General features: G+C 35.5%; 1 protein-coding gene across 57 annotated transcripts in view; it reads left to right on the plus strand.

Annotated features, from left to right (window-relative positions):
• The window catches only part of PAM (peptidylglycine alpha-amidating monooxygenase), a 276,323-nt gene that overhangs the window by 236,030 nt on the left and 22,427 nt on the right, over positions 1-17,866 (plus strand). For all 57 annotated transcript variants that reach the window (NR_033440.1, XM_024446066.2, NM_001319943.1 and 54 more), the window contains 4 exons: positions 12,221-12,337; positions 14,342-14,414; positions 15,989-16,199; positions 16,645-16,845. Coding sequence is in view for 56 of the 57 variants with exons in the window: in XM_024446066.2 (XP_024301834.1) it covers positions 12,221-12,337; positions 14,342-14,414; positions 15,989-16,199; positions 16,645-16,845 (602 nt within the window). In the remaining variant the exon portion in view is untranslated. The remainder of the gene's footprint in view (positions 1-12,220; positions 12,338-14,341; positions 14,415-15,988; positions 16,200-16,644; positions 16,846-17,866) is intronic.

Genomic DNA, 17,866 nt, shown 5'->3' on the forward strand with positions numbered 1-17,866 from the left:
TCACATCCTGGGTGCAGAACTATGCCAAGACCATTGTCCTGGACAGTGTGGTTGGGGCAGTTTGGCCACTACATGTGAAGAAATAGTAACTTGGCCTTAAGGTTTTAATATAGACTACTTTTATTACTCAAATTTGCTCTTTTCATGAGCATCAAAGGCTTAAGAATAACTCTAGGACTATCTATTACTCCTGCTTTATCCTCTGGATTTTCCTTTTCTACCTCCTTAGAGGGATTTTTAGTAAAAACATAGAACGGTTATTGAGTGTTTCCTCTGAGTTACCATCATTATTCAGGTTTTACAGATGTAGAAACCAAGAGAAGTTAAGTATTGTGCCCAAATTAGCAAGTGGCAAAGCCAGGCTTCAGTTGCTTCCCATCTAACTCCAGAGTTGGCCCACTTAGCCACTTTATGATACTGCTTTTAATGGAATTGTAAGCATGTTCATGATTGTATTTTTAAAAGCTTGCCCCACAATTTAGCTAAACAATTTTTAAAAGCTAAACCCCACAATTTAGCAGCTTATTTTAATTCTTTTAAGTAATGAATAGCCATTATTCATTTATTTCAATACAAATTTACATAGGGAGATAAATTTTAAGATTTTTTATCAATTACATCTAATATATCTTCTCTTTTCATACATATAACTATGGGTCTCATTTGGAAAATCGAGGATCTACATGTATAATTCAATTGGTTTTCTCCAGTTTCAGAGATGTTGATTAAATTTATGTTAAACCTGGTTCTGTCACGTATGCATATGTCTAATGTCTAATATTCTTTGTGCAGTCGAAGATGAAATTCAATCAACATTTCAGAATACATTGGTAGCATTGTTACTGTTTAATTGTCCTTTCCAGTTGTCATACTTGAAAATGGAATCTGAAAAAGATCACTTCAGAGTTCAAAGTAAATAATCAAACTCAACATTCTCATTCATACGCCTCTGTTGCATCGTCTTAGTCATTATTGAACATCTAATAGTATTTTAACAAGTGCTTTTAAAAGCAAACTATTACTATTCATAGTAGCATATTCTTCATTTTAATGAATATTGCTACATTTTCTGCATGGATTTCTAGCCACATTTTACCAGAGGAGAAAATTACAGCATCATTTTCTCCCATTGATACTGTTTCAGCTGACTAAAGCTAAATTGGACAAAGGCCAATTTTTCATTTTAATGTGATATTCATTTCCAAGTAAACAGCAGAGACTGGAATAGTTTAATAGAAAAAGGGATCTGTGAAGTCCAGTTTAGGGTGGAAGATGAAGTAAGACTATGAAACAGGAACCACCTAAGAGCATTTTCTGTGGCTTATCTGGCTGTGCTAGCATCTAGGTAACCAGGATCCTGTGGAAATAGATTCTGGTTTCATTGGCAAAGCCCCAGAGTATTTGCCCTGATAAATGACATCTACAAAGGGGTGCAGTTGAACATGCAAGATGTCTTCAGAGGAAACTGCTGATTTTACTCACTAAATCTCTGTTTCCTTGCTCTTCTTCATCTTTGTCTTTCAGATGTAAAACTATTTTTTTTTCTCTCTTTCCTTCTCCCTTCCTGGTATTGCCTGTTGCCCTTAGCAGACTTTGCAATCCATGGTTGTAAAGAAATTCTTTTCTGGCACTCAGCTCTCTGAGTAGAATTAGAAGTAGATTACTCTGTTAGTTATTTTTTAGGAAAATAAATTTGGATTAGTTCAAAGAACAAATTAGATTCAGGCTCCATTCTTTGAATGGTAATGCATGGCCATCATTCCTAAGTCACATTCTATAAATTGGATGAAGTATATCGGGTTTTTTTTGTCCTTCATTAAAAATCCAAGGATTATACAAAGAAAAAGTACCTTCCTGTGGAATTTATGATGTACAGGTGAGGGACAATACAAATTATAAATTAGTTGGAAACTCCATTCTTCTTGTTACTACTGTTGGATGGTGACAAATCCTGTATTAATTTTCCTTGAAATCTTTCCCATTCTGATATTTCTGAGGTTCACAGAATTGTAGGTTCTATAAGACCAGGGCATATTCTAAATCAAATTGAAGCACATTATATCCCATAGTTCGTAAGATGTGATCATTCTTTAAATATCAGACAGTACTTGGATTTAATAATAATTCCTAATTAATACTCAGTACCCAAAGGTTCTTTAATATCATTGCATCAGCTGTCTTTATAAGTACCATTATTCTTCATTCCCACCTGGTAACCCTGATCAGCCCTTATTCTTTGACTTAAACACACTAAATATACATAGCAACCAAAATTATAATGATGATAAACCTCTGACCTGAAAGATGATAGTCACTCCCTTTCTCAATATGATTTCCATTTTTCTCCCTTACTTCAATATCGCTTCTCTTCTAGCTGAAATAAGAAATGCCTATTGCCAGCAGGGTGTAATGAAACTTTAAAGAGTCTCTTGTCTGCCCTGGTGTTAGGGCAGCATGGCAGCTAGAGCTCTTTAAAGTTTAAATGCTTCCCAGCAGGAACTGGGTAGCTTTTGCCTCAGTAATAACTGTTCCTGAGTTTCTGTCTTAAAATCGCCACCCCACTCAAAGTGTTTCTTGGCCTTTCTTTCATGTACCTGAGCTATGGTTGGGGTGTACTATGCAGAACTCACATCGTATACCCACTTAACTTAACTATGGGTCTTGCCCCTAACTTATAGATGTTAGAAGTTGTATTTCTTATTTCATTTATCATTTCTTCTCTTGGAGTTGGAAGGGATCTTGGAATTAGTATAACTTCAGATTCTTTCTGTTACAAATAAGAGAGAAAACTCAATACAAACTAACTTAGGAAAAGATAAAATTAGTTTGTATAAGTGAAAACTTCAAGGAATATAGTAGCCCAATTACATCATCAGGATCTGTTTTACAGCTCATTTTTCTGTGGGGTGGCTCCATTTCCAGTCTTTGATTCATTCTGTTGCTCCTCTCCATTTGCAGGTTCAATTCACATTGTCATCCTAATGTCACAGAAGAGATAGTCTATATGCCTGATAAGTCAACATAAACTCACTAAAATTAGTCTTTATAGCATTCCTTCGTCTGACCTAGATCATGTCTCATTGCACGTTAAACCAGTTATTTTGGGCAGAGGAATAAAATTGAGTCTGTGGCTTAGCCTGTGTCTTTTGTTCTGCTCATGAAATGTGGGAGTAGAGTCAACATTATCTGAAGCAATGGGCTGACAGTGGAGCTCAAAATGTTGGGTCAACTAGAAAAAGGTAAGGTTTCATTATCACAAAATGCAACAATAAACATGTACTCCCAAAACAGCAAGTGTCCATCAAAGAGCTTATCTCCAGCCTCCCACCTAATGTATACATCTCTTCTACAGCAACTTCAACCATCATCCAGTGTTTGAATTTTTTCAATGCTAAGAAACTCCCTAGATATGAGACATGCTTTCCAATTATGGGACCCATCTAGATGTTATAAAGTTCTTCATTATTTTACCTAAATCTGAGTCCTGTTACTTCACCTTTTAGTAATACAGGATTAATTTATTCCCATTTATCCATGTCAATTATTTGCATATTTGAAGAAAGCCTTATCTTTTGCAAACTGAATATTCTCCAAGCTCTCAAGCAATCTTATGCTGACATGATTTATTTCAACTGAAGGAATTTTGGTCTCTCTCCCCTTTAAGTGTTTCGCCTAGAAGTGGTCATAGTACCTCACATATTATTTGATCAGTGTTACAATTAGTTCCCTTGATGTGTATGCTACACATCTGTTAGTATAAGAGAATTGTATTCCCTTTTTTTAGCAGTTACATCACTGTGTTGCCTTATGTAGAATTTGTAATCTATGAAAATCTCCAAATATGTGTCAAAAATTGTGCTGATATTTTTACTGGAAGTTTATGCTTATGCAGTGTTTTAAAAATATTGAATTCAGGGCTTTATTCCAATTATGTTCCACTTTATTACATTTAGCATTGTTTCAATTTACAGACATTATTTTAATCTTAATTAGCCAGAGACTTTGTGTTAGTTCTCCCAGCTTTGTATTAGGTCTCTTTGATAAGCATGCCTTTTATATCTTCATAGATGATGTTTATAAAATTTGAATAGCTGAATGGTTGGTTTTGCAAGTTTCGTTTGTAGAGAACTCATAGTCTTCTAGGAATCTTCTTCCCTCCTCCCCCCAGATAGCTCACAAACCATCTCTTTATCAATACTTTATGGACTTTTGCCAAGATCTATTGTTTTAGAAATCTGTCTGCTTCCTAACTTGTAGAAAAATCAGTTCAAGATTTGCTTCGCTAGTTTTCTGGAGCCTCAGTTAAGATATCTGCCTGGGTTATGCTTCAACTTCTGCGATTTCTTTCCTACCTTAGGGTTTAACTGGCCCTGGAGAACAGAACTCAAAAGTGTCTGTTACCTTTGTACCATCATGTCTGAGGGAAAACTATAAGGGGTTCTACAAAAAAGAATGTTTCAGTGTTCTATCTTTCTCATATCGCAATTTCACACTTTACCGGAGCCTTTTTCTTCCAGTTTTATGCTATTTTCTCTAGTTCTTCTTGGTTATATGACTGTTCTTCCATCTCTTCTACAGTACACATTGAATTTGATAACTGGTGGGAGATTTACCAATTCAGTCAGGTCAATCCTAGTAAGAGAAAATCACGTTTTTTTGAAGATAGGAGGCCTGGATTTGAATCTTGGTTACCATTTCCTGTTTTTGAGACTTGCATCAAGACGTTTGAACTCCCTGATTCTCAGTTGCTTGCCTAAAAAGTGAGGGCTTTAATAATTATCTCATACTGTTAAGTAACAAAATGCACCTTGTTAAGTCACTTGTCCCCAGTGGCCTTATTGACTGAATAGAATCCAGAGCCTGGATGTATGATACCTAGTTCTTTTTTCTCTTCCTATCTATTTGTGGTATTTATAGTTCTAGGCCTAAAATGGCACTAAATAGTCATACTGAATTTTTTTTGTCTGCCCATCTCTTTTCCTGCCTCACAGGGACTTTTTACAATGTGTCTATTTTCAGAAGTAAGTGTTTTTAACATAATATTAAGTTATATTCCATCGAGAGTCTCTGGCCTTTGTATATCTTTGCTTTTCTAACATTGAGGTTACATTTTCACTTATATTCTTGCATGAAAACCTACAGTTATTTCTCTAGCTTCTTAATTTATATAATTATATTATATTTCATATCTTCCTTCAGTTGCTGTTATTTAATTTGAATTCCCTTAATTTTGATTCATGGCATAGAATTTTATTTTCTCCTTACTCTAGCTCTTTTGTGTGTGTGAATATAGCAAAGCATTTCTTCCCAGCCTTATCTAAACTGTTTGATTAGCTGCTAATGTGAAAAATCATTAATGGAGAATTCAAACTGCTAAAATAAAGAACTGATGAATTCCAGCCCATAGGCCACAGTTCAGTCTTTTCAACTGAGTGCTTTTCCAGAGAAACAAAGAAAAATCAAAAGTGCTCCAGGCACTGTGTGAAATGTTCAGGGTATTATTATAGCCTGTAAAAAGTTAAATGTAGTTGAAATAAAGACCTCTCTGCAGCAAATAATGTGGAGTAGCTGCTTTAGAAAACTAAATAAGCAGTTTGCTATAGCAACGGTGTATCCAGCTCTATAATCTGACAGCCATTTGTGAACTGTTCAAGGGTTACCTTTCTTTGAATTACAAGAGTTTATAAACTACTTACTTAGCAAGTTTAACATGTGTGTTTGGAGGGGGACTGTGATTTTCTCATTTGAGAAAAGATGTCAATTTATTTTATTATTTGCCCCATGTAACCGTCAGGGACCAGCTGTTAGTTCCGTGAAGCTCCAGCCATCCCAAGTGAAAGGATTAGGACTGGTCAACCAATCATCTGAGTAAATGAATGTCCCTTGATGCTGCCAGTTTAAACATATAGACGTCTGTTAAAAAACATCACAATGATTTTAAATGAACTGGTCAGGCCTATTATGTAGTGATTAATTCCTTTAAAGCTACATTCTTCCTAAGAATTCTGGGTTTTTCTTATTTGTTATTTACATTATGGAAGTAAATTACTACATTTAAATGAGCTGTATATATAAGTAGAGTGTTTTATCTTTGGATTTTGTTATGTTTTGTTAGCTTTGTGTCATTTTTTACTTTGTTTTTGAGGGGTGGTAGTTAAATGAACAGATTCTCTAATCAGTAAATTCTAGAATTTGTGTTATCACTGATATTCTTAACAGTGAAAGTATAGTAATAATATGAATAATAATCATAAAGCTATGGAAAAGTAGCTAGTCTTAAGCAAACATAAAATGCCCTTTATACATATAGATGACATGAGTGTAATTTGTGATAGCAAACGAAACCTAAAAAGACCCAGATAATTAGTTGTTACATTGTAACAAGATACTGGGAAAGATATCTTGATATGTTGCAAGACAATTTTTTTTAAGGATCCAACTTTTAATTGTAAATATCTGAACTTTGGGAGGTGGAGTTGGGAGAATTGCTTGAGCCCAGAAGTTCAAGATCAGCCTGGTCAATATAGGGAGACCCCCATCTCAACAAAAAATAAATTATCTAGGCATGGTGGTGTGCACCTGTGGTCCCAGCTACACTCATGAGGCTGAGATGGGAGGATCACATGAGTCTGGTAGGTTGAGGCTCCCATGAGCCGTGATCATGCCACTGCACTCCAACCTGAGCAACAGAGACCCTGTCTCAAAAAAAAAAATTACTCTGATTTACTTACTCTGTCTTATTTTGTTTGTTCCTTATTTTTCTTCCCATTCCTTCATTTGCTATTTTTCTTCTCATTCCTTCATTTGCTATGTCAAAATTTTCTATTACAACACCAAAAAGTGGATAATGAAATAGAATTAGATGATCCTCAAATTAGTTAATTTTACTATTTGCTGCCACCACTGGAAACTTGAAAGTTCTATATTATGAATATAAATGTCCATACAGAAACAGTGTTTGTGGCAGCACAATATCAATTACTTGACACATTTTTTTCTACATTTGTGTGCAGTGCAGAACAATGCCATTGATAGAGGATGTTTTTCACTTACCTACTTATCAACTGCAACATTTCCATTTGACCTGACTGGCACAAGGACTGTGGGTCTGTTATTTATATTTACTCCTTAATGCAGCTTGTTTTCTTGGAAGCCAAGCCCAGCATTTCAGGTCTGTGACTCTGAGACTCTAATCTTACATGGCTGTCAGTGAGTAATTTAACCTATAGTTTACACTTTGAAATATTTGAGCATCTAGAGAAATAATCTGGACCTATAAGAAATGCTTTAAGTTACAGAAGTTCAGTGTATGCTCCTGGAGAGGGAGGGAAACCTTTTTACTTTCTCCTCATCAATAAATTGTAGGAGTGCTATTTCCTAAAATAATATGACCAGAGATTTAGGAATGATGGTGAATATTTACATGAATGACAAGACAGATCAAAGGGGCAGTTATCTTACAGAAATACTGCATCCCATTCTTGGAGAAACCATGGGGGCAAGTAAATATATCAGGTTTCCCTAATGTTTTGTCATTCTGCAGAGAGGGGAAGATGTGGAATTATGTGTGCTGAGGTCTAATACGAGGATATATAATAGGCATTTGGACTGCCACTATTATTAGCTGTCAGTGGTGAGTCAGAACTCACAATCTACATATAAAGTAGATAGCACTTGGCAAGAATTATGAATTGGAATTATGAATCAGTAACTTTTCATATTCCACAGGTCGGGATGGGGTAGAAAAGTAATGTACTAGTATATTCCAAGGAAATAAACTAAGAATAAATGAAAATATTATATATAGTTTTATTATATGTAGTGATGTTATATATAGTTTTGCAAAATGGAGAAACTGGGTAAAGTGCACACAGAATTGTTTTTATTTCTTACAACTGAATATGCATCTACAATTATCTTAACTAAAATTTCCATTAAAAAAAGAGGGGGAAAGGTTTTAACTCTTAATAGCAGAAGCATAATTTTCACATTATTTAGATTGCCATTGTGCCTTTACAAAGCACTGAAATGTTTCTGAATAATGAGGAATGTGAGACTTAAACCTTGCATTAGTTCCTTCTCATGCTGCTAATAAAGACATACTTGAGACTGGGTAATTTATAAAGGAAAGAGGTTTAATTGACTCAGTTCAGCATGGCTGGTGAAGCCTCAGGAAACTTACAATCAGGTAGAAGGGGAAGCAAAAACGTCCTTCACATGATGGCAGGAAGAAGTGCTGAGCAGAAGTGGGAAAAGCCCTTTATAAAACCACCAGATCGCATGAGAACCTGCTGACTATCAGAAAACAGCAGCATGGGGTAACCACCCCCATGATTCAATTACTTTCTACCAGGTCCCTCCCAAATGGGAGAATTCAGCCAAAATGAAGAGGCTACAGGCCCCATCCAAGTCCAGAATCCAGCGGGGCAGTCAAATCTTAGAGCTCCAAAATGATATCCTTTGACTGCATGTCTCACATCCAGGTCACAGTGATGCAAGAGGTGGGCTCCCACAGCCTTGGGCAGCTCCATCCCTGTGGCTGAGCAGTGTACAGACCTCCTCTCAGCTGCTTTCACAGTTGGCATTGAGTGTCTGTTGCCTTTCCAGGCACATGGTGCAAGCCGTGGGTGGATCTAACATTCCAAGGTCTGGAGAATGGTGGCCCTCTTCTCACAGCTCCACTAGGCAGTGCACCAGTGGAGACTCTTCGTGGGGGCTCTCACCCCACATTTCACTTTCATACTGCCCTAGCAGAGGTTCTTAGTGAGGGTTCCTCCCCTGCAGAAAACTTCTTCCTGGACCTCCAGGCATTTCCACACATCTTCTGAAATCTAGGCAGAGGTTCCCAAACCTCAGTTCTTGACTTCTGTGCACCCACAGGCTCAACACCAAATGGAAGCTGCCAAGGCTTGGGGCTTGCACCCTCTGAAGCCAAGGCCCAAGCTATACCTTGGCCTCTTTTAGCCAAGTCCTAGGACACAAGGCACCAAGTCCTGAGGCTGCACAGAGCAGCAAGGCCCTAGGCCTAGCCAAACCATTTTTTCCTCCTGGGCCACTGGGTCTGTGATGGAAGGGGCTGCTGTGAAGACCTCTCATATGCCCTGGAGACATTTTCCCTATTGTTTTGACAAGTAACTTTTGGCTCCTCGTTACTTATGCAAATTTCTGCAGCTGGCTTGAATATCTCCTCAGAAAATGGGTTTTTCTTTTCTATCACATCATCAGGCTGCAAATTTTCCAAACCTTTATGCTCTGCTTCCCTTTTAAACATACGTTCCAATTCAAACCATATCTTTGTGAATTAATAAAACTGAATGCTCTTATGAGCACTCAAGTTACACCTTGAATGCTTTGCTGCTTAGACATTTCTTCCACCAGATCATCTTCCACCTAAATCATCTCTCTTCAGTTCAAAGTTCCACAGATCTCTAGGGCAGGGGCAAAATGCCAACAGTCTGTTTGCTAAAACATAGCAAGACCTTTATTCCAGTTCCTAGCAAGCTTATCATCTCCATCTGAGACCATGCCAGCCTGGACTTCATTGTTCATATCACTATCAGCATTTTTGTCAAAGCCATTCAACAAGGCTCTAGAAAGTTACAAACTTTCTGACATCTTCCTGTCTTCTTCTGAGCCCTCCAAATTGTTCTAACTTCTGCCTATTACCCAGTTCCAAAGTCACTTCCACATTTTTGTGTATCTTTATGGCAGCACCCTATTTCTGGTACCAATTTCCTGTATTAGTTCCTTCTCACACTGCTAATAAAGACATACCCAAGATTGGGTAATTTATAAAGGAAAGAAGTTTAATTGACTTACAGTTCAGCATGGCTGGAGGAGCCTCAGGAAACTTACAATCAGGCAGATTGCTTCAGAAGGGGAAGCAAACACGTCCTTCTTCACATGATGGCAAGAAGGAGAAGTGCCAAGCAAAAGGGGGAAAAGCTCCTTATAAAACTATCAGATCTCATGAGAACTCACTATCATGAGAACAGCAGAAAGGGGGTAACCACCCCATGATTCAATTACTTTCCACCAAGTCCCTCCCATGACATGTGGGGATTATGGAAACTACAATTCAAAATAAGACTTGAATTTATGGAACTTATGTAAAGTCTCAGTACTCTACATAAATAGGAGAACAAAAAAAAATTATTAAATTATATTCTTTGGCCATTAAAAAATACACCACACAATTTGGGTGGGGACACAGCCAAACCATATCAAACCTTAAAAAGAGATAGTGAATGAAGAAACTTTAACCTATTACATATGAATGTGAAGGTTACAATATACTGAGTCTCAGATGTGCTGAACTTGTTAGTCATTATTATAGTCACCTTGGAAAAATAAAAGATTATTAATGGTTGAATCCAGTACCTATGTTTTTCAGAGGAATAGTTATGATGTTTTTAGTAAATAAATTCATATTGAAAATAAACTTTCAGATATAGGATAAATTATTTGGTGTTTCATACTAGCAAGAGTGACTTCATATTTTCCCTTTACCATTTTCCCATAATTTAATAATACTATGAGTATTCTTACATTGGTTCCTATCTAATAAAATTTCACATTTCAGTTGATAATGACCCCATAAATATCTTATGAAATCTGTTTTGTTAATGATGATACTTCCATTTCATAAATTTATTTTTTTCTAGATACCACTGTGTGGTTTTTAACTGCATATAATAGCATATATAAAGAGTATTACTGAAGTTTTAGATTGACAAAGCTGAATCAATATTTTGTGTTCAATTGAATGCATCATTAATAAGAACTACTTCAGGGACTTATTGTTGTCTTTCAGGAAAACTATACCCAAAAGACTGTAACAGTCAAGTAGCTCAGATAATTGTGTGGTGTATTTTTTAATGGCCAAAGAATATAATTTAAGAATTTTTTTTTGTTCTCCTATTTATGTAGAGTACTGAGACTCTACATAAGTTCCATAAATATGGCAGCCAACTGATGAATGGATTCATGACAGATCCAAGCAGTCTGTTACCTTCCCAAATTGCAAATATATAATAGCAAATATTTAATGTTATTCAGATTCTTCTTTTGCTTAACCAGTTGCACTACAAAATATTAATACTTTTTTCACAATCTTGCCTGATGCTATAAAGGCAATTCTGTTTTACAGAAATATTCATAAGTCATTTATTGACTTGATATGTATATTTATAAACACACACACATACACACCCACACACACACATACACACACACCCCCCTCAACTATGTACTGATCCAATCCTTTTTTGAGAAGATAACTTGGTTTCTTGTTGTTTCATACATTTACTTCTATATTACAGAAGCTTAGATTAGAAGAGCTTATCTTTGTCATTCATCCCTGTTGACATATAACTTCCCAAACAGAAAATGAAATAAGTACCATGTCTGTGATAATTGTGAATTTAAGAAATTATATTACTAACAATTTAAATGGAAATATAATTTTGAAAGTATATATATATGAATATATGTCCATAATATTTTATAATAATCTAAAAGGTACTGAGTTTAAAAGCAGAAATTGTCATATTTAAGTTTTTTAATTAATTATTGCATAGTTGTTCATTTTGTAGTTATAGAATAGCTGTTATTTGGTAAGTTTTATGCCTCTAAGCATATTTTTGTCTCGAGGATAGATTCGGTTTTGTAACTTTTAAATACTTTGAACATCCTCTTTTATATCTCTATAATATGTATATGCATGTTGTACCTAAAGTATAATAACGAACATTTTGATCACTGCTCTTCCAGCTATTATTATAATTAATGACAAAGTTAAAATAAGTCATATTTTCTTTTGCAATATGAAAGAAAATGTCTATTGAATGACTGCATACTCTTTTGAAGAGCTTTTGAAATTTTTCAGGTACATTAAGAGTTCTTGATCAATGTTTCTCAAACCCCAGTGAGCATAGGAACCACCCAAGGGTCTTGTGAAAATGCAGATTCAGGTCCAGTAGGTCTGAAACTGCATTTCCCAGCAATGCCAATGCTTCCGTTCCACTGACCACCCTGAGTAGCATGGTTCTACAGGTTAATGGGGTATATTATAATCCAAATGACTGAAATGTGGCAGACAAAGAGTGAAGTCAAATACATTTGAGCTCTTTTGATTTTGTATTTATGTGAATGGTCTGCATTTCTCAATTTCATTGGAATTTATGATTGTTTCATGTCCTATTTAATGCTTTTTGTTTAGCTCGTTTGACAGCAAGTTTGTTTACCAGCAAATAGGACTCGGACCAATTGAAGAAGACACTATTCTTGTCATAGATCCAAATAATGCTGCAGTACTCCAGTCCAGTGGAAAAAATCTGTGAGTTAAATGACTTATGTTGTTAAGACTTGTACTACATATATTGAGTATAAAGTGTATCATAGAGTCTTGAAATTCGAGTGTTTTGTATAACTGCACTTGAGAAAGCAGAAAACTAACTGGGCCATCCCATCTTTCATTTTCTACATAGGTGTTTCTAAATCTTGACTGAATATTAGAATCATCTGGGAAGCTTCAAAATATTTAGATTCACTTATCTGTTTGCCATTTGTATGTTTTCTTCTGAGAACTGTCTGTTCAGGTCCTTGCCTATTTCATAATTGCTAAATGAGTATATTTGGAATGTTCTCACCTCAAAAATGTTAGGTATTTGAGGTGATGGATATGTTCATTAGCTTGATTTAATCTCTCCACATTGTATACATATGTCATAACATCACATTGTACCCCATAAATGTATACAATTAAAATTTGTCAATTTGTCCTTTAAAAAATTAGATTTAGATTCTGTATAGAGTGGGGCTAATAATCTTAAGTTCCCAGGTGATTTTAATATGTAGTCAAGCTTGTTACATATTACATATGTAATATATATCTTACATACTTGATTAAGTGAGTTGCTGCTCAGCCAGATCTAATGATCCAAAAAAATTCTTCAGCAGAAAAATTCTTCAGGACAACCAAACTCATCAAGTAATCACCATTAAGTAAAAGAGCTTCTCTTTTTCCGTCTCAAAGTGAATACTAAACAAATGTCATTTTTAGCATTCCTTATCATGCGTATGTAATTTGGCTTTGAAAACTGCTCATTATTTAGTCTTATTTCGAGATGGCACTTGGCAGCCAAAAAAAAAAAAAAGTTGACTGATATTTATGGTCATTGAAAGAAGTGAGGGAGGCACTTGCTTACAGATCTCCTGAACCATTGTAACTTGACAGCTTCAGGAATTATACCCTTCTCCATCTGCTTAAGCACAGGGAAAGCTAGCTTCTTCGCAAGGTGGATAGCCACCGTTTTGAGTGCAGCTGCTTGGGAGATGATAATAATGATGCTTAGAATTTTTTAACAGCATTCTCAAGATTGTGTGTCAGGGGTGAAATGTTTGAACCTGTTTCATTGGTGCTCTATTTATTCACCAGAAGCACCCTCATTCCAGAAAGGAATTAAGGGGAAGGCAGAAAAACTACTGCTAAATCAACTTGGCCATCGGTGGAGTATCTGTTTGAAAGCAAATCATAATCCTCACATTCAGTTGTCAAAACAGGGATCTAGTTCAGCTAATTAGTCAAAATCAGAGTGTTACAGTTATGGCTTATGAAAAAAAATCTGTATTGTCAACACTACACTAAGATTAGAAGCTAACAGAGCTATTGGATTGTCGGATATCATTGGACCAAACCACCTCAATGTATTGTCCATGTGTCTGTTAGCTCAGTCCAGGTTCCTTACCTAGATCATTAAGATTGATTTGCCAGATTAACCTTCTCTAATGTTTATCTAGCTCACTATTTCACTTTGCTTAGATATTCACAGCCCATGTTGGCTGGAGGTTATGTGCTGTGGGTTTTACTGTCTTTAATAGGCACTCTTTAAAGCCTTTGAGTTATATGTCTAATAGTTTATATTAACACATTACATTTCCTTGCAACATGTTTTAACCGCAAACTATATCAATCCATTTATGTTTCTTAAGTCAGTTTTATACATATTTGTAAGATGTTAACACTTATGACCTCAGAACCTGTTTTTAAACTGATACTGTTTTCTCTAATATACCATACTTTATAATAAACATTTGTAATTTATATGTAGGCTTAATTTATAAATTTTAATACTATTAAATACTACCTAAGGTTTGTCACAAGGAGATCTCATTATAACAGTTTTTATTAACTATTCATTTTGTTCTTTTCTATAATAATGCAAGTATACATTTATCAATTTATAACTTTGCATTGTCTTTACAGATTAATTAGAAAAATTTCTGTCACATATGCCTTGAGAGTAAATGTGTAATTAACACAAATATTTTTATTTTGCAGGTTTTACTTGCCACATGGCTTGAGTATAGATAAAGATGGGAATTATTGGGTCACAGACGTGGCTCTCCATCAGGTAGTCTTCCTTTTGGTAATATTCAAATTAGAAGCTAACAGAGTTATGCTTTTGAAGAGCTCTGGAGTTGTATGGGTTTTTTGTTTGTTTGTTTTTTCTTCTGTCACCCAGTAAGTTATAACAAGAAAATAGAGCAGCCATGTCTTAGTTCAGCATGTTATAACAAAGTACTATAGTCTGGGTGGCTTATACACAACAGAAATTTGTTTCTCACAGGTCTGGAGTCTGGAATTCAAGAACAGGGTGCCAGCATGGTTGAGTTCTAGTGAGGGCCCTCTTCTGGGTTATAGGCTGCTAATTTCTCATAGTATCCTTGCATGGCCAGAGAGATAAGAGTGACAGTAATCTCTGTTATCTCTTCTTATGGCACTAATCCCATTCATGAGAACTCTACCCTTTTGTCCTGATTACCTCCCAAAGGCCCTGCTTCATATTACCATCATATTGGGGGTTAGGATTTCAACATGTGAATTTGGATTTGAGGCACAAACATTCAGTCCATAACAATCCACATCTGAAATATTTCTCTTAGAACTCAATGCTAGGGAAAGCTAGTATGTAAATGATGAAGTCACATTTGTCCCTTGGACCAGATATGAAGCTTCACTCAAATAACTACATGGGCCCTCCCAACCATTTTCTTAACTGTCTGTATTTGCCTTTATTTCCTCTGTTCCTAACTTGTTGTTGTTGTTGTTGTTGTTGTTGCTGTTGTTGTTGTTGTTTGAGACAGGGTCTCACTCTGTCCCTCAGGCTGGAATGCAGTGGCACGATCTTGGCTCACTACAGCCTCCACCTCCCAGGCTGAGGTGATCCTCCCACCTTAGCCTCCCAAGTAGCTGGGACCACAGTCACACACCAGCATACTTGGCTAATTTTTTTAAATTTTTTGTAGAGATGGGATTTTGCCAGGTTGCCCAGGCTGGTCTTGAATTCCTGGACTCATGCAATCCACCTACCTCAGCCTTGCAAAGTGCTGTAATTAACAGGTGTGGCCATCGTGTCTGGGCCTAAGTCTTATTTCTATTTTTTTACTTATTTTTTTATGTTTTTTTCTTAAACTACCTTAATCTTCTATAAATTGAGGCTAGGCCTCTAGTAAATGTATATTTATATATAAAAAGTGAAATTTGTGTTATTTTTAAAAGAAGTTATATCAAGCGTAATATGCTTTTCATGAATAGGTGGCAAATAACTTGGAAAACATCATCTCAGTAAACATTTATTGCTCATGTATTATCTGGAGTGCATTGTAGTATTATCTAAGGAAAGACAAAAAGGAAACATCAGGGTGGACAGAACTGGGTATCCATGTACTAGTCTCCATTCACTACTAATTAACCGCGTGACCTTGAGCAAATCATTTAATCTTCATAGGCTTTATTATCAAATGAAGGAACCAGACCAGATGATTTCTAGGATCCCGTTCAGTTCTAACAAGTATTAATACCTTCTTTTAAATAAGTCTCTGGGAGCTTCTACTCCAATTGCTTGTGAAAGTGGTCTTAGTCATGTGGGTGTAAGTCACTAATAACCATGAAAAGTAGGTAAGGCTTTTGTTCCTTTTTAAAAAGGTGTTCAAACTGGATCCAAACAATAAAGAAGGCCCTGTATTAATCCTGGGAAGGAGCATGCAACCAGGCAGTGACCAGAATCACTTCTGTCAACCCACTGATGTGGCTGTGGATCCAGGCACTGGAGCCATTTATGTATCAGATGGTTACTGCAACAGCAGGATTGTGCAGTTTTCACCAAGTGGAAAGTTCATCACACAGTGGGGAGAAGGTACCCAATAAGACTCTTAATCTCCAGTTGTAATTCTTAGCCAGTATCACTGGGAACTAAATATTGGCCAACACTCACATTCTTTAAGCTGTAATTGTCCCCTACAGGGTCATTGTAACCTGGGTCATTGTATGCATCCAGTTAGCTTGTCTCTCACACACACACACACACACATATACATACACACACACACACACACACACACACACACGTCTTGTAAGGAAAATAATGTATCCACCAAACAACTATCCAAATAGGGAGAAAATCTGTAATGTATTTGTGGATAAAAGACATTATAAAATAATCTTATAAACTGCTTTACCTTATCTTTCCCCTGGCTCCAGGCATTTAATGGTTTACTATCATGAATTTAGAAACATACTAGAGAGTCAAACTTTGGGTGATTTTTAACATTGTGTATCTAAGGCTTTTTTTTGTTCTGCAGAGTCTTCAGGGAGCAGTCCTCTGCCAGGCCAGTTCACTGTTCCTCACAGCTTGGCTCTTGTGCCTCTTTTGGGCCAATTATGTGTGGCAGACCGGGAAAATGGTCGGATCCAGTGTTTTAAAACTGACACCAAAGAATTTGTGAGAGAGATTAAGCATTCATCATTTGGAAGAAATGTATTTGCAATTTCATATATACCAGGTATTTCATCTTAATATGTTTGTTGTCTTCTGTCCTACTGTACTCTATCCTTAAAAATTGTGTTATCTTAATGTGCTCTTTTTATAAATTTTCTTTGCTATATATTTCACATCTTAAAAGTATCTTACAACTGTTAGTGTGTTCTAACTCAGTTTTGATTAAGGTACCACTATTCATTGTACAGAAACAATGAAGAACTCAAAGGATTTAACACCTGTTTGTAAGGGGTTAAAAATGTTCCCAAACATTGATTTTCATTTTATCTTAATTATGATCATCTGCTCCAGTATTAAATAATTAATATTTGTCTTCACACATCGACAAATGGTATATGTCTGATAAAATCAGTATTCAAAATACTCATTTCACATTTTTAAAAACAGTAGTGACCAATTTTTTTAAAGATAAAATATGTAAAAATAAGTGTGGCTTATGCCTAAATACCAGGATAAATAATCAATAAAATCTTGAACTTTTTTCTCATTTTCAAAATAGATTTTCTTGACTCTAAGAAAATCTGAAAAATAATTCAGACTAATAAAATACATATAACTTATATTACAAAACAACTTACCATATTTTCTTTAAATAATGAAAATATATTTAATTTCTGAAATTTACATACAATTACAATTTTTTTAAATTGTAATTGACATAGTAATTGTATATATTTGTAGAGTACAATGTGATATTTTGATGTATGTTTACAATGTGGAATGACTAAGTAAGGCTAATTAGCAAACCCATCACCTCACATACTTATGTTTTATGGTGAAAACATTTAAAATATGCTCTTTTCACAATGAAGTGAAATGAGATCAATAACGAGGAATTTTTGAAAAATTCACAATTAAAGGGCACAACATATTTTAATAAAAACATCTATACCTGTATTAAAGCAGCATTGACTATTTATAGGTATTACTGTAATATTTATGTTTCTTATAAGTTGCATATGGCTACTATCTGGACCAAGCAGCCCCCCAAATTATTTAGGACATAAAATCAAGGGACTCAGGTG

The sequence above is a fragment of the Homo sapiens genome, chromosome 5 (genome assembly GCF_000001405.40).
Source record: "Homo sapiens chromosome 5, GRCh38.p14 Primary Assembly".
NCBI classification, from domain to species: domain Eukaryota; kingdom Metazoa; phylum Chordata; class Mammalia; order Primates; family Hominidae; genus Homo; species Homo sapiens.